At 36.0% G+C, this 21239-nt stretch overlaps 2 long non-coding RNA genes across 2 annotated transcripts in view; both read left to right on the top strand.

Moving 5' to 3' along the window:
- The window catches only part of LINC00437 (long intergenic non-protein coding RNA 437), a 154676-nt gene that overhangs the window by 118984 nt on the left and 14453 nt on the right, over positions 1-21239 (top strand). The window lies entirely within an intron of this gene.
- LOC105370167 (uncharacterized) lies at positions 72-608 on the top strand. Its single transcript, XR_941883.3, has 2 exons — positions 72-160; positions 241-608. It is a non-coding gene; the product is annotated as an uncharacterized LOC105370167 (long non-coding RNA).

Here is a 21239-nt window from a genome sequence, read left to right as displayed (position 1 = left end):
CCTCTGGTGATGTCACAATATTCAGACAGAATTCTCACACTGGTTCCTTCTCATCTGGAGATGGCTGTAGTGGGCAGGCTGTTTTGGCTCTGCTTCTACAGACCTATGCAGCAGGTTTTGTATTGGGTTCAACCTACAGGCCAATAGATGACATTTGCAGGTAAGAGCCAGCTACTTACTGCACAACAGGGAGGGTATGGCCCTGATCTGTTTACTGTGACGTGTTCTTTGCTGTTTCAGGTGAAGAGCTGGATAGTGGGGTTCCTGGTGTTCCGTGGAAGAGGCCGGACACAATTGGGCAGAGCTGGAGCCTCTGGCTTGCCCATGTGTATCCCAATGGCAAGCACAGGCACCAGCCCTGAAAAGGGTGGCTGGGAGATGCTCTTAGGGACATGCCCCAGAGATCTCTGTGTGGGGCAGAGTGAGGAGGCTTCACTGGCTCCCGCATGGTAGACAGACATGAACAGAATCTATTTCCCTATCACACCCATTGCAGGTACTTCAGATGCACACTGTAGTCTATCTCCAGACCACAGTGTGGTTGATTGAAAGCCTCAGGAAACCTTGTTTTCCAGAAGAAAATAAACTTGATGTTTTCTTTGGGCCTATCATTATCATCACTATGATTATCATGTACAGTTTGCTTGAATTTACCACAAAATTCAATGCTTGCTTAATATTAAAAAATGAGACGGTTGTTCTCCAAGATTGTGTACATTATTATTTAACCATCTTCTTCTAAATAAAGGACGATGAAAAACTTAAGATTTACTCTAGTTTTCCTCTGCCAGTTCAATGACATACTGCTTGAGAAATGGAAAAACTGGAGTTTCAACTCCCTATTTAGTATGGCAGCTATTCTGTTCCTGGCACGGCCATTTGTGTTGTGTTGTGAGCCCATTAAAAGTGATTCTATGTTTTTTCCATAGATGTCGTCTTTGGTAGTTGGCATTCTTCCCAGAGGAAGATAATGGGAATCAGACATGCTTCTGATTGTCCCACCAGCCAGCTGCCGGTTTCAGCCCAAGCCATTCTGAATTGGAGGATGATGGTCTAGCTTTACTTCTCAAATAGGCTACTCCTTCCCACATGGTCAGGTCAGCTTTTTAATTAGTTAATTTTTTTCCTCCAGCCCCACCAGTACTATATTTAGCAGAAATATACTACTTTGTAGTAAACACTACTCTCTTCCAGATTGATTTAACTCTGACAAAATAAACAAAGTCTTAGGCCAAGTGTGGTGACTTACTCTTGTAATCTTAGCACTTTGGGAGATCAGAAAGATCACTTGGGCCCAGGAATTTGAGATCAGCCTGGACTGTGAGACCCTGTCTCTACAAAAAAAAAAAAAAAATTAGCCAGGTGTGGTGACACATGCCTGTAGTCCCGGCTAATCAGGAGGCTGAGGCAGGAAGATCGCTTTTGCCTGGGAGGTCAAGGCTGCCCTGAGCCGTGAGCTGTGATCAAGCTACTGTACTCCAGCCTGGAAAACAGAGCAAGATTTTATCTATACTAAAAAAATTAAACAAATTAAAAGTCTTTCTATTCTTGTTGTTCTGGTGACTATTTCAATAAAAGTCTAGGAGAGGAGGAATTTAAAATGGGCATTCGAGTCACATCTGTTCATTCAGCAGATAATTTTGAGTACTGCCTCTGTTCCAGGCACTATCATAGGCATTGAGTGGTGGACAGAGAATGATCATCCTCACTTGCGGGGAGAGGATTCAGCCTCTTGAGATCTTACTTGGAAATTATCCCATCTATTCATTTTGAATTACATCTTATCTTGAATTATGAGTATTTAATGTAGCTGGCTCAATTTTGAAACAAAGTGATTTATAAATAAATAAGATGAAATATTAACTATATATACATAAAAGAGATTTCACTTGAGGTCCATCATTCAAGCACAATAAACCATCACTAAATATTCTTGAACACTGGCTCCATTGGGTAACAGTCTCTTTATGCTGCCATTCTTTAATTGTGTAGCATGCGTGATATCTAAATCTCTAGGCGCTTGCAGAATGATTATATTGTTTATTGGAAACACTAATAACAAATAACTTTAATTCTATTTTGTATTTTTCATTGTAAAAATTGATTGACATATGTAGTTATCTCAGACTCTTTTACTCAAACTTTTTAAAACGATTGATGCAATTGTATTCTCATAAGTTTTGGAGGCTTCTGTAGCCAAAAAACAAAAATCAAAGGCATAGGAATGTTAAATAGTAAATATTTATTTTCATATGCTGGTCCAAATAACTGGATCAAATCCTTTCTAAAATAGTAGTTACGCAGCATTTCCATCTTTATAATACATACAATTATAATATTAAAAAATCCCTATAGTATTATTCCATTTCAATGCTCTGCTACAAATCTTTTTCCATTTATTTGGTATATAATTTTTGGATAATACACCCATTCTTTCCTGATCATTTTTGTTCAGACTGTAGGTTTAATGCATATAATTCTGCATTTCTTCATCATAATCATCATTTCTAGCATTGGTATTCACTCACTGGAATGTCATGTCTATGTAAATGCTAATCCATTTCTCATTTTTCTCCTGTAAAATATTCTTTTTTTCTTATTTCTTTATTTAAAGTAGAAGCTTTAATTGTGTCTGGGTAAATTGCCACAGTTCCAGTGACAGCTTTGGAGCCTCTGATTAAAAGTCATTTACTTACAAAGAAGCTCTGTTCTCTCTAAACCAGTTTAGATGCCTGAGGCCTTTTGGTATTAATGGTCTCTACTGCTGCAGCCACAGAAATGCCTGTGATTAAAGTAATTACTAGTTCTTTAGTTGTTCATTAAAGCAATCCTGTAAAAAATTTGTTTGAATTACTAGGTAGTGACTTATCTGTGCATTACACAAGCTCAAGACAATATGGCTTATTCATATCAGCACAGAAGAGATAGGACAGACAGAACACAGCCCCAGAGTCCAGCACCTAAACAGGGCAGAGGCAGAGAAAATGCACTAGTATCACAGTTGACACTAGATTCTAAAACCTAGAAGGGCAGCCACTGGCCAAAGACTAAGGGTAGTAATGAGATTTTCAATCAGGCATTTTGTTACTTACCGAACATTTTTCAAAGTCCATTATGTCCCATACTCTATTCTGCAGGTCGCAGACGAAAAATCAGTCTCCTGGGAAAGCTCTCAGCCTGATTGAGAAAGGAGACCTATAAAGAAACAATTACAATACAGCACTCAAAATGTCACAGGGGAAAAAGTTTCTATAGAAAATGGAAGACAATGTCTAAATTCAGCGGCCTAAAGTGAGCAATTCCGTGAATATTTACCTCCTAGTTAATCTGTCATGACCCATTATGTTAATAGTTGGGAGACTGGCTTCAATTCTGGAAAAGACGCAGGTGTGAAGAATCTGAACGTATTTCCAAACTAGGGACTAGAAGAGGGCTTCAGTGCCAGTGGGGGCTTGGTGCCAGGGATAGGAAGTGAACAGAGACAAGGTTAAAAGGCAAGATGTCTGAAAGGGAGTAGTTGTTTAGGGGTGAAGAGGCAGAGAGAACACGGGTAGTTTCTAGTGCTTTAGGGTCCTGAGTATAATTTGCATCACCATTTTTAAGAAGGAGAGATGGGTAAAGCTGGAATCCCAAAGTCACGGTTGCCTCATGACATTAGATCTTGAAGGAAAAATTAACTGTGTTTCTCAGTAGGTGGTAGTAAAGATGTGGCTGCTGCTTTAATTCCAGCCTAGGTCAGTACACACTCAGGACCTGGAATGTGACTGAACATGCATGTCAAGGTGTCAATTACTCCTCCTTAAGGAGCTAAACTTGCAGGTGCAGAGGGAGGGAGACTAAATCTCACAAATGTTTAATGATAATAAAAAAGATATGCACAGAAATTTTTATTTTCATTGTACGAGGATTTTAATGCTTTATCTTAAAAATGTGTAGAATAACTGTTCTTTAAAAGTTGCCAATATGAATATTATTTTGTATGAACCTGAAGTGTATAGAACGTTGCATAGTTTTCACAAAATACTGAAAACTAATTAACTGGCTGAGTACAGAGAATATTATTTCTCTGTATATAAGAGTTTCTCAACTTTGGCACCTTTAACATTTTGGACTGGAGATCTCTTCGTTGTTGCGGACCGTCCTGTGCATTGTAGAGTATTTACAGCACCCCTGGCTTCTAAAAGCTAGGTGCCATTAGCATGCCCCCTTCCCCATCACACTTCTGAAGTCAGTACAATAAAAATATTTCCAAACACTGCTTTATATTTTAGAATTTGAATAGTTATATAACATTATATTATTTGCTCCATACATACATTTCCTAAAATGTTTCTCAATTCCTTTCCTAAAGCATGACTCAATTTCCTTGAGATGAAGGACATTTAAAGATGTCATCAAACCTCATCAGTGGGGGATATTTTAAGAACAACCACCAATATTATTACCCTGGAGACACTTAATTCTATCACCCTTCACTGGCCACCACAAAAATAAACCAAATAATTAAAAAAAATTCCAGACCTATTAAGAAGACTCGTTGCTTTTCTAGAATTATCACTAAAGCTTGATTTTTTTTTTCAAAGTGAACAATCAACCAAATGCATTGGAGATATTATGTTCACCAATGGGACTGTAAATGACAAGTCCACACGAAACCCCTGAGAGGCACTGAATACACTAAGTTGCCTCTTTTTATTGGTAATATGTTTAAAATAAGCAATCAATGTATAGAATACGTTTCATGGTATCACATCCCAGTTTTATTCTTCCTCATATGGTTGATTTTGTTATGACAAAATAACATCACTCTTCATGTACATAAATGCACTGCTTAGCTTCCAGAATAGTGCTTGACATTCAGTAAATATTTGTTAACTTAATGACTGGATTGTCACAAGATGCCATGGCATTACCAAGTTCTCTTTAACAGCAAAATTTAAGTCTTTTACTGACTAATTTGAAAATAAATTATTTTGCAAGATTTTCTATTTCAGTCTTTGTAGTGGATGTCATGGTGCACAGCCTTTGTGAAGCACTCATTTCCCCAGGAGTCAGTAATTCTGACTGCTGATGGCTCATAGCTGAAAACTTCCTAGGAATTACCCTCCATCAGTAGAAGCTGGAGGCAACCTGCATCCAATGGTGGTTGATTTAGTGATACAATTTGGACATCTCTAAAGGATTATCCTAGCTCCAGTGCTCGCTGTGGGAAAGATGAAAAGTTGTTTCAGTTGCATAATGGCTCAACTTCTTCCTCTGCCCACTCCCCAACAGATGCTTTTCCCCTAGCAGTCCCCAGAAAGCTTTCTGTATACAAACATCCATCCCAAGATCTACTCCCCTGGGGACCTGATACACAGCAGGTGGTGCCAGGAGCACTCCACAAAAGAATAATCTAAAAAGGGAATTTGAACTGAATAACCCGTAACCTATTGAGAGAGATCATTGGTAACAGGTGGAAAGAGGACAGGGCCTGGTGTGCTGTGGCAATGCAGTTGATAAAATTCTCACCAATGCTGAACTGGGATGAGCTAGTGCTGTTCTCAGTGGCGCGATACTTCTCCCCTCTCTGGAAACGCTTGTTGAAGCCTGAGACAATTCTGATAGAGATGATGTATGTGTGTTGAGGGAGAGGGGATGATGGTGTTACTGGCATCTAGCAGGTAGTGTCCAGGGATGGTGCTTAACAGAACGGACCCCTGCCCCCCACAAGAAAAAAAATAACCTGTCGAAACGGCAGTAGGGTTGAGGATAAAAACAAAAAACAAACAAGTTACAGTGAAAGGAATGCACTCGCTGATGCAGTCTTTCAGGTGTTGGAGAGGCTAGGGGAGATTAGTTAGTATGAAAACAATTGAATGAGATGGTTCTTACTTGAAAGATAGAGGGTGAGTAATCACCAATTTAAAGCAGAGTGTGAAAGTCAAGGGCCCCTTGGCAGCACATCTCTACAGAAGATCCTGGGCATGAGGCCGAATGCTTAATTATAAGGGTAGTTGAACTGCAGTGAAGTTTGAATCCTCAACCTAAACAAGACCATTCTGTCAAGATTAGAGCTGAGATTGGGAGGAGTGAAACCTCAAAGTTGGGATGTGACACTTCAGTCAACTCACTTGAAAACCTTGCAACCCAGGTTACCTCTACCGCTTCTGGTCTGCATAACTTCCCCCATCCCCAGCCCTGCTTGAAGATAACAGAACACTCTGCCTTTCAAGACCAGGTGTGCTGCCCGGAGAGGATTGACTTCTACCTCCCTTCTTGACAACCAGACCAATGAGGAGGGCCAAGTAACAGTAGAACCCATTCAACAAAGTGCTGGGCTTGGCGAGAGGGAAAAGGAACTCTATCTGAGAGAAGCTGCGGAGACTTAAACGTGAACAGAGGAGTATACGTGGACTTAATCCAGAGGGTGCTGAAGCAAGGGAGATAGAATATGAAGTTGGGTAAGGGAGAGTTTATAGAAATAAAATTACTCTAAACGCTCTAAAAAGGACCTCAAGGAATGATGCTAATCCAGTGCTAGGTTGTCTCTTGGAAACTTGGAAAGTGAAGGCTCATGCTAAGTGAAGCAGAAATGCTAGAACTGCCATTGTAGATGATGGATGAAGGGACCAAAAGGCCCATAGAGCTGGAAGGGCCAGAGTAGATACACTGCATGAGGCCTCCATCATTGTGGGCTCCTAGCACCCCAATTTTACTGGGGAGTCCAGTTCTATAATAACATCTCTTATCATCAGCCCAGTCCTAGAGGAGACCACTGCCACTGAGCTCCTCTTCAGTGTTGGGACCCCTTCCACCTTATTACTTCTTAAGTGGTGTCTTCTGGGCTGGTGTTTCCTGAACTGATATACTCCTGATCCCGAATCTCATTTTTTTTCCTCTACACTTAACTGCTTCTTAGGTAACAACAACAACAACAAAAAACCAAGCGTGTGCGCGCGCACACACACACACACACATAGACACACATCAATGAGTTTCTCATCCTGTGTTGCCTAAGTGAGCCTAACCCTGAGGCCATCATGGTACTCAGAGAACAGGAAACCCTACCCCAAGTAGACCCAGGCCACCTTTGCATTGCTACATCAATAGAGAAACATGCTCCTGTAGTTTCCATTTTGAGGGGGAAAATCTTCCCATTGCTCTCACACTCTTTCTTAGCTACCCAAATTTCTCTGTACCCCATATTCCTGGGTGCTCACCTGACCTACTTTGCTTAACTTCTAAGATCAAATAAGAGTGAACATTTCAGGATGTTAATATTTTATACATATTTGAAATGTCATGTTATAAAATTGATCCCAATAAATTGACACAATCTATTAGAAATTAAACTTGGGTAAACATTATAAAAAGTTATAGCAACATAACTAACTGGTTTTTATTGGAAAACAACAATACCATAACTTTCAGTATATTTGTAAGTCTTTAAATTCTAGTTTTATACTTTTGTTGTAGAAGGTCATCTCTATATGGATTTTTAAGGGAGTTTCTTACAGCTTATTAGAAAATGTTTTTATTTGATATGGCCTTACTGAAATTTGATATGGCATCTCTTGGCAACACCACATAGCACTCTGCTCTTCCTCCTTTTTTCCCCCCAAAGCCAGCCAAAAATCAATAGAATTCACACATTTCCCTTAAGTAAACACGTTTGAGCCAGAAAACATTTTGCATGTCAGGTGAAAGATATATTTTATCTTGTTGTATTTCTTTTCAGTAGAGCTTCATGGCTCTCTGGAACAAAATGTTTTCAATCTTGATGTTTGAGCTCTCTGAGAGATTCTATGAAGCAAAGCAAAAAGCAACCAGATGCTTGACACATATTATTGAATGTAATATATTGCAATTATATTGCACATTATATTCTCTAGATGAGAAGGTATAGCCTGTAAGTACATCCAAACTCAATAAAACTGTGTAGAGTGAATAACTCAACAATGTCCCCCCAAAAAAAGTTAGTTAAAGAAATAGATTTGTCTGATGAATGCATGACAATAAGAAAACATTATGAAACATTATATTATGGGGAAAGGAGCTAAAAGGAGTACAAGATAAATGTGAATATGTCACATAATGAAACAATAAAATTCTGAATCAAGCTATAGAGAGAGAATATTTGAAAACCTGGGTAAAGTGTTTATGGCACAACACAGACAATATTATTTAATGCAATACTGCACATATATTTAAGCAGAAATTTTATTCCACTTATGAGCATTGTGTACCAATTTTTGATGTATTTCAATTATTTCATGTGCAATAAGAGATCAGATATGATTACCAGTTTCTACCGTCTTAGGTTGTGACCTCAAGATTTGCATAGGATATATTCACTCATATTGGAATCTGCTACTTTTGTGATTGAGTTTGATTCAATTAACATTTCAGATTTTCCAAGAAGTATATCAATACGTATTTGTTATTTATTCACTAATTAGTATTAATAATTATAATTTAGTAATAGTACATTCACACAATTATTCAAACTTTCATGAGTATTTGCTGTATACTCATGAAAACCACAGTAAAACCAAGCCAATAAAATGAGTTTTGACTTCATAGCTATGTCTTCAATTTCCTGAAGCACTCAAAACACAGCCTCCTTTTTTGGTATAGTCTTTCCTGAAAATCTGGGTATAATGAAAATAAATGACAAAATATTAACAGCTCAAGAGAAAAGAAAAATGAGAACTTCCTAATTCTTAGCCTTTTTTACCTTGAAGGTCAGCTTTTACTTTTCCTCCCTATTTCTTTTTTACGGTACAAATTTTTATTCTTGATCCTTTTAGAAATATTCTATCTCGTACCAAGGAGGGCATGGTTTATTCTTCCAATCTGGGTGACTTCTTTCCACCAGGATGATTGATAAACACCCAATAACCTACAATAATCTACTTTTATAGTGCAGCTGCCAAAACTTAGGTTAATTAGGCAAGAATAACTCATTGAATTGGGGAGATAATGTAACAGAATGCCCAGGTGGGCTTTTCTAAAGTCCAGCAAACATTCCATGGTGTGTTTGTCAATTCAAGTCGAAGAGAATTGTTCTATGGGAATACAAGTAATCCAAGTTCACTCTTATTTGAGGTTTTTCCACCAGTTAAAATGACAAAACACCTTGCCACTCTTCTTGTTGCCTGCCAGTCTGCTGAAGATAACTCCTGAGTAAGCATGCACGAGTGTGCACAGGACTTATACACACAGATCCTCAGAAACATTTTAGAAAATGCATGCAAGATAAACATATTCTTGAAGAAAAAAATCTCTAAATACTTCCCCATCCATAATGGAAGTGGCATTTTGTATTATACACAGAACCCAGTCTAGTTAAAAAAAAAAACAAAAACCATTAAAGTGTGTTCACAAGATGGTTCTTTAATTTTTGTTAAATAAAAGTACTCTCTATCCCACATATATGCCTTCAGTAGGATATAGAACTTCCAGAAGCTTTGAAGTTATATATTATTTTTAATGATGTAACAAATACTTATTGCATTTATTCTAAAAAAACAGATTTTCCTGTGTTCATTATACACCAGATCATCTGCATGTTTTTACATACATTATTCCACTTAATAGTCACACTATGTCTAAAAATACCACTATTATCACTGTTTTACACATGTGAAAACTAAAGCACCTAGATGTAAAATAGTGTTCACAAGGTCACACAGATAATGATAAGTGATAAAGGATTCTTGTATACCCCTTATCCAGATGTCCAAGTTGTTAATAGTTTACCATATTTGTCTTATTCACTCTATATAAATGTCATTATTATTATATATACTATACATTTCATAGAAAGTCATTTTCTGACATAGTGTCATAGTATCCCTATATACATCAGAGAATATTTCCTAAAAATAACAATACCAGCCTATAAATTTTCATGAAAATAAGGAAATAAATGTTGATTCAGTACTTTAAAACAGTGGATAGGTCTTGTTCAATTGTCTCCAATTTCCCTATCAATGTCTTTTGTATTACCCATTTACTTCTGGTGTACGATTCAATGTAGAGTCAAAAATGGCCCCTAATTGCCATGTCTCTTTATTATCCATCAATTTGAAACAGCTTCTTAGTTATGCTTTCCTTTCATGACCATAGCAGTTTTAAAGAATATATTTTAGTTCGTTGCAAAATGACCTCAATTTGGATTTTTCTTTTGTTTTCTTGTCATTATATTCAGGTTATACATTTTTGACAAAATATTACAAGGGATGCTGTGTTTTTTTCAGTGCACAGTATTTTTTGTGGGTACATGACAACAATCTTTCTCATAATTGGAGATGTTGGATTGTATAATTTAGTTGTGATGGTGTTTACAGGATGGTTCATTATAAGCTAATTGATCAGTGTTTGTATTTACTAAAAAGTAAAGGGGGAGTTCTGACATGTAAAGAACATGGAAGACGTCACTTTGATCCTCACAAGGAAAATGCCGAACAAACAGAAACTCGACAGTATATCCACCAGAGATTGGAAGTTACAGGGAAAATCACCACCCTGAAATTTGGAAAGATAGGTTAATATAGAGAATCAAAGCCAAGATTAGTTCACCAGCAACGAGTGCAACTTGTATTCAGTGTTATTCCAAAGGTCCTAGCTAGTTCAATAAAAAAGAGAAGGAAATAAGAGGTATATATATATACATAGAGAGAGAGAGAAATAAGTAGTAACATTGTCTTTGTTTGCAGATGATATGATTGTCTATGCAGAAAATCCCAAATAATCAATAGAACTAGAGCTAATACATGATTACAGCTAGGTTGCAGGATACAAGGTTATTTTGCAAAAACTCAGCAGCTTTCCTATGTACTAACAACAGTTGGGATTTAAAATTAAAAACACTACACATTATCCCCCAAATAATGAAATACTTAGCTCTAAATTTAACAACACATGTACAAGTTCTGAGTGAGAAAATCTATAAAACTATCATGATAATAATCAAACAAGATCTACCTAAATGGAGAAAGATTCCATGTTCATGAAATATCCATAGTGTAGAAACATTCAGTGTTATCAAGATGTCAATTTCCCCCAACATAATCTACAGATACAATGTGATCAAAACTCCAGCAAGTTATTTTGTGGCTATCAACAAACTATATCTAAAGTTTATGTGGAGAGTCAAAGACCAGAATAACCAACTCAATATTGAAAAAGAAGAACAAAGTTAAAGGACCGACACTTCCTGACTTCGAGACTTACTATAAGGCAGCAATTATGAGGAAAGTGTGATATTAGCTAAAGAATAGACAAGTAGACTGTACTTGTCTATTGTAACAGAATAGAGATCCTAAAGTGAACTCACACAAATATGTTCAACTGACCTTTGACAAAGGAGCAAAGTCAATTCAATGGAGAAAGGATAGTTTTTTCAAACAATAGTGCCATATCAATTGGACATTTATATGCAAACACATACGTCCATGCGCACACCCACACCCACACCCACACACACACATTTTTATTTTTCACAAAATTAACTTGAAATGAATAATAGACCTAACTATAAATTGAAAAACTATAAAACTGGTAAAATAAAATATAGGATAAAATCTAGATAACCTTGGTTTTATGATGAGTTTTTAAATACAAAAACAAAAAGACAATCCTTGAAAGAAAAAAAAGTTGAAGTTTGTTAAAAGTAAAGATTTCTGCTCTGTGAAAGATACTCTTAAGAGAATGAAAAGAGAAAACAGATCCTGGGACAAAATATTTGTAAAAAATATTTTTGATAAAAGACTGTTATCCAAAAGGTACAAAGAGTTCTTAAAGCTCAACAGCAAGAAAACAAAAAACCCAATTTAAAAATGAGAAAAATGTCTTCTCTTTACCTCGGAAGAAAAGTAGATGGCAAGCAAACATATTAAAAAATGCTCACCATCATATGTAATTAGGGAATTACAAATTAAAACAACTGTGAGGTACCACTACACACCTATTAAGCTAATTAAAATTTTTTAAAAAACGATAATATCAAATGCTGTAGAGAATGTGGAGCTATAGCAACTCTAATTGCTAGTAAGAATATAAAACGGTACTTTAAGAGATAGTTTGGAAGTTTCTTACAAAGGCAAACAAGATCTTACATATTACCCAGTGATCCTGCTCTTAGATTTTACCCAACTGAATTGAAAACGTGCTTACTCAAAAACCTGCACCTATTTACAGCTATATTCTTAATCACCAAACCTGGAAGCAACCAAAACATCTCTCCTTCTTTCCTTCCCTCTCTTTCTCTCTTCTTTTCTTTTCTTTTCTTTTTTCTTTTCTTTTCTTTTCTTTCTTTCTTTCTTTCTTTCTTTCTTTCTTCTTTCTTTCTTTCTTTCTTTCTTTCTTTCTTTCTTTCTTTCTTTCTTCTTTCTTTCTTTCTTCTTTCTTTCTTTCTTTCTTTTTTCTTTCTCTCTCTTTCTTTCTTTTTCTTTTTTCTTTCTTTTCTTTCTTTCTCTCTCTCTTTTCCTTCCTTCCTTCCTTCCTTCCTTCCTTCCTTCTTTCCTTCCTTCCTTCTTTCAAGTTTTGCTCTTATTGTCCAGCCTAGAGTGAAATCGTGCGATCTCGGCTCACTGCAAACTCCATCTCCCGGGTTCAAGCAATTCTCCTGCCTCAGCCTCCCTACTATCTGGGATTACAGGCATGTACCATCATGTCCAGCTGATTTTGTATTTTTAGTGGAGATGGGGTTTTACCATGTTGGTCAGGCTGCTCTCGAACTCCTGACCTCAGGTGATCCACCCGCCTCGGCCTCCCAAAGTGCTGGGATTACAGGCGTGAGCCACCACGCCCAGCCCAAAACGTCTTTCAGTAGGTGAATGCATAAAAATACCATGGTACATCTATAATACAGGATATTATTCAAGGAGAAAAAGAAATAATTTCCAAAGCCATGAAAAGAAATGGAGGAACCTCACAAGCATGTTGCTAAGTGAAAGAAGCCAGTCTGAAAAGACTAAGTACTCTATGACATTCTGCAGGGAAAAAAAACTGTGAAGACGGTAAAAAGGTCAATAGTTTTCAGGGGTCCTGGTGACTGGGAGTGGTGGGAGGAATGAATACATGAAACACAGGAGATTTCTAGGGCAATGAGACTATTCCATATGATACTGTAATGAGATATACAGCACCTATATTTGTCAAAACCCATGGAACAGTGAAATACGAACAGCAAAACTTAATGTAAACTATAGACTTTAGCTAATAATAATGTATAAGTGGTGATATATTAATTATAACAAATGTACCACATTGTGGCAAGATTTTAATAATAGGAGAGACTGTGTGCTTGGAAGGGGTATATTTAAGAACTCTGCATTATCTGCTCAACATTTTTGTAAATCTAAAATTCTTAAAAGTGAAGTTATTGATTTAAAAAAAGTACATAAACAATTGAAATTTAACAATGAAAATTTCATTGACACCATTTTGATTTTTGATTCCATATTGCCCATAACCTTTAAGAAACAAACACATATTAAGTTTTGCTATTAGAACATAGGCAGTAGCCAGGGAGTCATTACAGCAGGCCTTGGGTGAGACCCAGTGCTGGGCTGACTTCAGGTCTGACCCAGTGCAGTCATAGTGATGATGGACACAGGGTTGCTTGTGTTACTCCATTCCCATCTATAAGTGGCTCAGAACAGAGAAAGAGACTATATTTGGGAGAAAGTAAGAGAAGAGAACAAGAGTCTCTGCCTAGTAATCAAGATAATTCTCCTGGATCTTGTCCAAGACCGTCAAGGTGGTGCCTCTATGAGTCTGCAAGAACCACAGTATTACTGGGCTTGGGGTGCTCCCTAAAACAGATACAGCTAAGATCATAGCACCTGAGTCCTTTCAAATATCAGGAAAGCCTTTCCAAAAGGGATGGCTACAAATAAACCCAGATAGTGAAGGCTACAATAAATTCCTAAATACCTAGCTCTTCAATGCCCAGACACCCTAAAACATCTACTAGCATCAACACCATCCAGGAAAACATGACCTTACCAGATGAATTAAATTAGGCTCCAGGGACAAATCCTGGAGAAATAGAGATATGTGACCTTTCAGACAGAGAATTTAAAATAGCTGTGTTGAGGAAACTCGGAGAAATTCAATATAACACAGAGAAGGAATTCAGAATTCTGTCAGATAAATTTAACAAAGAGGTTAAAAAAATAAAAAAAATCAAGCAGAAATTCTGGAGCTGAAAAATGCAACTGGGGTATTGAGGAAGACATTAGAGTTTTTAAAAATCAGAATTAATCAAGCAGAAGAAAGAATTAGTGAATTTGAAGACAGGCTATTTGAAAATATATGAAAGAGGAGGAGACAAAAGAAAAGAAATTAAAAAAATTGAAGCATGCCTAGAGGATCTAGAAAATAGCCTCAAAATGGCAAATCTAAGAGTTATTGACTTAAAGGAAAGTAGAGAAAGACATAGAGGTAGAAAATTTATTCAAAAGGATAACAGAGAACTTTCCAAAACTACAAAAATGTATCAATATCCAAGTACAAAAAGGTTATAGAAAACCAAGAGGATTTAACCCAAAGAAGGCTACCTCAAGGCATTTAATAACCAAACTCCCAAGGGTAAAAGATGAAGATAATATCCTGAAAGCAACAAGGGAAAAGAAACAAATAACATACAATGGAGCTCCAATATGTCTTGTAGCAGACTTTTCAGTGGGAACTTTACAGGCCAGGAGAAAGTGGCATCACATATTTAAAACGCCAAAGAAAAATCATTCAAGCATGAAGGAGAAAGAAACACTTTCCCGAATAAACAAAAACTGAGGAATTTCAATACCAGACCTGTCCTACAAGAAATGCTAAAGGTAGTACTTCAATCATAAAGGAAAGGACATTAATGAGCAATAATCACCTGAAGGTGTAAAACTCACTGGTAATAGTAAGTACACAGAAAAACACAGAATATTATAACACTGTAACTGTAGTGTGTAAACTACTCTTATCCTAAGTAGAAAGACTAAATGATGAGACAACCAAAAATAAGAACTACAACTTTTCAAGGCATAGTCAGTACAGTAAAATATAAATAGAAACAGCAAAATGTTAAGAAGGGGAAAGAAGGTGTAGAGTTTTAATTAGGTTTCATTTTGCTTGTTTCTTCATTTATTTCTGCAAATAGGATTACGTTATCAGGTAAAAATAATGGGTTATAAGATTGTATTTGCAAGTCTCATAATGACCTCAAATTAAAAAACATACAATAGGCACAGCAAATAAAAAGCAAGAAACTAAACCATATCACCAGAGAAAGTCACCTTCACTAGGAGAAGACAGGAAGGAAAGAAAGAAGGAAGAGCAGACCACAGTACAACTAGAACACAAATAACAAAATATCAGGAGTACGTACCTACTTATCAATAATAACATTGAATATAAATGGACTAAACTGTCCAATCAAAAGACAAAGAGTGGCTGAATGGATGAAAAAAACAGGACCAACTGACCTGTTGCCTACAAGAAACACACTTCACCTGTAAAAACACATAGACTGAAAATAAAGGGATGGAAAAATATATTTCAGGACAATGAAAACCAAAAGATAGCAGGAGTTGCTAGACATACATCCGACAAAATAGATTTCATGACAAACATGTAAGAAGAGACAAAGAAGGTCACTATATAATGATAAATGGGTCAATTCAGCAAGATGATAAAATAATTTTATATATGCACTCCAACTACTCAGGTATATATACATATACATAGAAAATATTAATTAGAGTTAAAAAGAGAGATAGGTCCCAATACAATGATAGCTGAAGACTTTAACACTCCACTTTCAGCATTGGACAGATCTTTCAGACAGAAGGTCAACAAAGAGACATTGGACTTAATCTGCACTATAGACCAAATGGATCTAATAGTTATCTACAGAATATTTCATCCAAGAGCTGCAGATTTCACATTCTTTTCCTCAGCACATGGATCTTTCTGAAGGATAGACCATATCTTAGGTCACAAAACAAGTCTTAAAACATTCACTCCTGTAATTCCAGCTACTTGGGAGGCCAAGGCAGGAGAATTGCTTGCTGGGAGGTGGAGGTTGCAGTGAGCCGAGATCATGCCACTGCACTCTAGTCTGGTGACAGAGCAAGACTAATCTCAAAAAAAAAAAAAAAAATCATTCAAAAATCTGAAATAATATCAAGCATCTTCTCTGAGAACAATGGAATAAAACTAGAAATCAATAACAAGAGGAATTTTGGAAGCTATACAAATACATGAAAATTAAACAATATGCTCCTGAATGACCAGTGGGTTAATGAAGAAATTCAGAAAGAAACTGAAAAATTTCTTGAAACAAATGACAACAGAAATACAATATACCAAACCTAGGGGATACAGCAAAATCAGTAAATCAGTACTAAGAGGGAATTTTTTCTTTTTTCTTCCTTTTTTTTCTTTCTTTCTTTTTTTTTTTTGGTTTTGAAACAGGGTCCTGCTCTGTTGCCTGTCACCTAGGCCTGAGTGCAGTGGTGTGATCTCGGCTCACTGCAACCTCCACCTCCTGGGTTCAAGTGATTCTTCTGACCTCAGGTGATCTCCCTGACTCAGCCTCCCAAAGCACTAGGATTACAGGTGTGAGCCACTGCACCCAGCCCAGTACTAAGAGGGAATTGTATGGATATAAGCACCTAGATCAAAAAAGGGGAAAAACTTCAAATAAATAATCTAACAACTCATCTTGAAGAACTGGAAAAGCACGAGTAAACCAAACCCAAAATTAGTAGAAGATAAGAAATCATAAAGATCAGAGAAGAAATTAAAAAACTGAAGTAAAAACAAGACAAAACATCAATGAAACAAAATGTTTTTTTAAGTTAAACAAAATTAGCAACCTTTAGCCAGACTAAGATAATAAATCCAAATAAATAAAATCAGAAATTAAAAAGGAGACATTACAACTGATACTGCAGAAATTCAAAGGGTCATTAGTGGCTACTATAAGCAACTATATGACAATAGATTGGAATATCTAGAAGAAATGGACAAATCCCTAGACACATACAACCTACCAACATTGAACCAGGAAGAAATAAAAAATCTGAACAGACTAATAAGTAATAAGATCAAAGCTGTAATAAAAAGTCTCCCAGTAAAGAAAAGCCCAGGACCTGATGGCTTCACTGCTGAATTCTACCAAACATTTAAAGAAGAACTAATACCAATCCTATTCAAATTATTCCAACAAATAGAGGGGAGGGGAATACTTCCAAACTCATTCTATGAGGCCAGAATCACCCTGAAACCTAAATCAGACAAAGACACATCAAAAAAAAAAATACCCACCCCCCAAAAACACTGAAGGCCAATATCTCTGATGAATATTGATGCAAAAATTGTCAACTAAATACAAGCAAACCCAATTAAACAATACATTAAAAAGATCATTCATTATGACTAAGTGGGATTTATCCTTGGAAAGTAAGGATGGTTCAACATATGCAAATCAATCAATGTAATACATCATATCTACAGAATGAAGGATAAAAACCAAATGATCATTTAAATTGATGCTGAAAAGCATTTAATAAAATTCAACATTCCTTCTTGATAAAAACCCTTAAAAAGATGGGGATTGAAGGAACACACCTCAACATAATAAAAGCCATATACGACAGCCCACAGCTAGTATCATACTTAATGCCGAAAACTGAAAGCCTTTCCCCTAAGATCTGGAATACGACAGGGATGCCACCACTGTTATTCAACATAGAACTGGAAATCTTAGCTAAAGCAATCAGACAAGAGAAAGAAATAAAGGGTATCAAAATTGGAAAAGAAGAAGTCAAATTATACTTGTTTGTAGATGATATGATCTTATATCTGGAAAACTCCACAAGAAAACTATGAGAATTGATAAACAAATTCAGTAAATTTGCAGGATACAAAAATCAACATAAAAATTTGGTAGCACTTCTATATGCCAACAGGGAACAATGTAAAAAGGAAATTTTAAAAAGTAATTCCATTTATCATAGCCACACATAAAATTAAATACCTAGGAATCAACTGAAGAAGTGAAATATCTCTATTATGAAAACTATAAAACACTGATGAAAGAAATTGGATAGGACACTAAAAAATGGAAAACGTTTTCCATGTTCATGGATTAGAAGAATCAATATAGTTAAAATGTCCATACTACCCAAAACAATCTACAGATTTAATACAATCCCCATCAAAATACCATTAACATTCTTCACAGAAATAGAAAAAGCAATCCTAAAATTTATATAGAACCACAAAAGATCCAGAATAGCCAAAGCAAAATGAACGAAACTGGAGGAATCACATCACCTGACTTCAAACTGTACCACAAAGCTATAGTAACCAAAAGAGTATGGTAGTGTCATAAAAACAGACACATAGACCAATGGAACAGAATGGAGAACCTAGAAACAAATCCACACACCTACAGTGAACCCATTCTCAACAAAGGTGCCAAGAACATATACTGGGGAAAAGACAGTTTCTTTAATAAATGGCACTGGGAAAACTGAAAAGCCATATGCAGAAAAATGAAACTAGACCCCTGAAAAGCCATATGCAGAAGAATGAAACTAGACCCCTGAAAAGCCATATGCAGAAGAATGAAACTAGACCCCTGTCTCTCACTATATAAAAAAATCAAATAAAAATGGATTAAAGACTTAAATATAATACCTCAAACTATAAAACTACTACAAAAAAACATTGGGTAAAATCTCCAGAACATTGGTCTGGGCAAAAATTTCTTGAGCATAACCCCACAAGCATAGGCAACCAAAGCAAAAATGGACAAATGAGATTCCATCAAGTTAAAAAGCTTCTAAACATCAAAAGATACAGTCAACAAAGTGAAGAGACAATCCACAGAATGAGAGAAAATATTTGCAAATTACCCTCTGACAAGGGATTAATAACCAAATATATAAATAACTCAAACAACTCTACAGGAAAAAAATCTAATAATCTGATCAAAAATTTGAATAGACGTTTCTCAACAGGAGACATACAAATGGCAAACAGGCATATGAAAATGTGCTCAAGATCATTAATAATCAGAGAAAGGCAAGTCAAATTTGCAATGAGATATCCTCTCACTCCAATTAAAATGGCTACATCCAAAAGACAGGCAATAACAAATGCTGGCAGGATGTGAAGAAAAGGGAACACCTGTACACTGTTGGTGGGAATGTAAATTGGTACAACCACTGTGGAGAACAATTTGGAGGTTTCTTGAAAAACTAAGAATTGAGCTACCATATGATCCAGCAATCCCACTGCTGGGTACATACCCAAAAGAAAGGACATCAGTATATTGAAGAGATGTCTGCACTCCTATGTTTGTGGAAGCACTGTTTGCAATACCTAAGATTTAGAATCAATCTAAGTGTTCATCAAGAGATGAATGGATAAAGAAAATGTGGTACATTTACACAATGGAGTAGTATTCAGCCACAAAAAAGAATGAGATCCGTCATTTGCAACAACATGGATGGAACTGGAAATCATTTTGTTAAATGAAATAAGCCAGGCACAGAAAGACAAAAATCACATGTTCCCACTTATTTGTGTGATCTAAAAATCAAAACAATTGAATTCATGGATATAGAGAGTAGAAGGATGGTTATTAGAGGCTGGGAAGGGTAATGGGGCACTGGTGAGGAGACGGTGATGTTTAATGGGTACAAAAAATAGTTAAAGAATAAGACCTATTACTTGATAGGACAACAGGATGACTAGTGTCAGCAATAACTCAATTCTACATTTAAAAATAACTTAAAGAGTGTAAGTGGATTGTTTGTAACTCAAAAGATAAATGCTTGAGGCAGTGGGTACCCCATTTTCCATGATGTGCTTATTTTACATGCCATGCCTGTATCAAAGCATCTTATGCATCCCACAAATATATACACTTACTGAGTACCACAACAATTTAAAAAAATTGCTATTGTACCAAAGAATATCCACCATTATTTGAGAAGACTATTAAAATATCCTTTCCTTTTCAAACTACGTATTTGTGTGAGATTAGATTTTCTTTACATACTTCAACCAAAACAAAATGTCACATCAGATTAAATGCAGAGCAGATGTGAAAATCCAGTTGTCTTCTATTAATCCTCGTGTTAATAAGATTTCCAAAAAATGAAGCAATGTTAATCTTCTCACTAATTTTTGAAAGAATATTTTAATTAAAATTGTTATTTATGTAAGTACATAATGCACTTATTATTTTAATTTTTAAATCAATCAAATATTTTTATGTAAGTGGGGAGCTGCTTTGAAAGTAAGTAAATATTATTTAGATAAATATTGTTTCTTATCAAAATTTCACTTATTTTTAAAAAATCTATTGATAATCATATCCCAAATCATTTTTTACTGCAGTTATTGCCAAATGGTGATATTCTAAGTTCATAATTCTTTCTACATTTATTGCTTATGTTTTACTATAATGTAGAGCAATCCCTTCTCTCCAATTTCTTTGACTCATTCATTCATTCATTTATATATTTATATCAGCATTGACTCATGGATTCTTATTTTACTCCATGGGTTATATTTTATTATTATCATTATTTATTTGCTGTCCTAATTGTCCCAAGTTTGGACAGTAAGAGCCCCTTCAAGATGGCTCCTCTGCTCTTTTGACATATCCATATATTCTTTGATTCCTTCTTTTCATTGTGATACTGCAAAATGTTCCAGTCCCATCTTACACTTTCCCTGCTCTGGAATCACGCATTTTCCCTGGAGTCTTGGCTTTATTTAGTGGAGTATTTAGTATCCAAGATCTGGGTGCCAAGTGTGTTTCTTGCTACTAGGCTTCCAGACCTTCTCAGCAGGAAGAACTAGGAACACACACACACACACACACACACACACACACACACACACACACACAGGCACGTGTAGGCCCATGTAATCTGCATCTCTGTCTGTACCCATCCATCCGTGTTTAAAAACCAAGAGTTTACAGTTTCCAACTCAACATTCAGGATTTATTTTCACCTTCCTCCTTTCTATATTTGTATTTCCCCAAGTAGTAAGAATTCAAGGTCCTGTAATTATCAATATATTCACTTAATTTTTATATCCTGCATATAACCATTTAACCACATGGGTCTTTTCCTTCCCCTCAACCCAAGCTGCAGTTCCTCTGGTTATAGGTTATTCTAACATGATTAAAGCCCCTCTTTCCTAGTATACACTCTCATATTAAAGGG

The sequence above is a fragment of the Homo sapiens genome, chromosome 13 (genome assembly GCF_000001405.40).
Source record: "Homo sapiens chromosome 13, GRCh38.p14 Primary Assembly".
In the NCBI taxonomy this organism is placed as follows: Eukaryota; Metazoa; Chordata; class Mammalia; order Primates; family Hominidae; genus Homo; species Homo sapiens.
The sequence above is the reverse complement of the archived record's forward strand: the minus strand, read 5'-3'. Positions and strand labels throughout refer to the sequence as shown.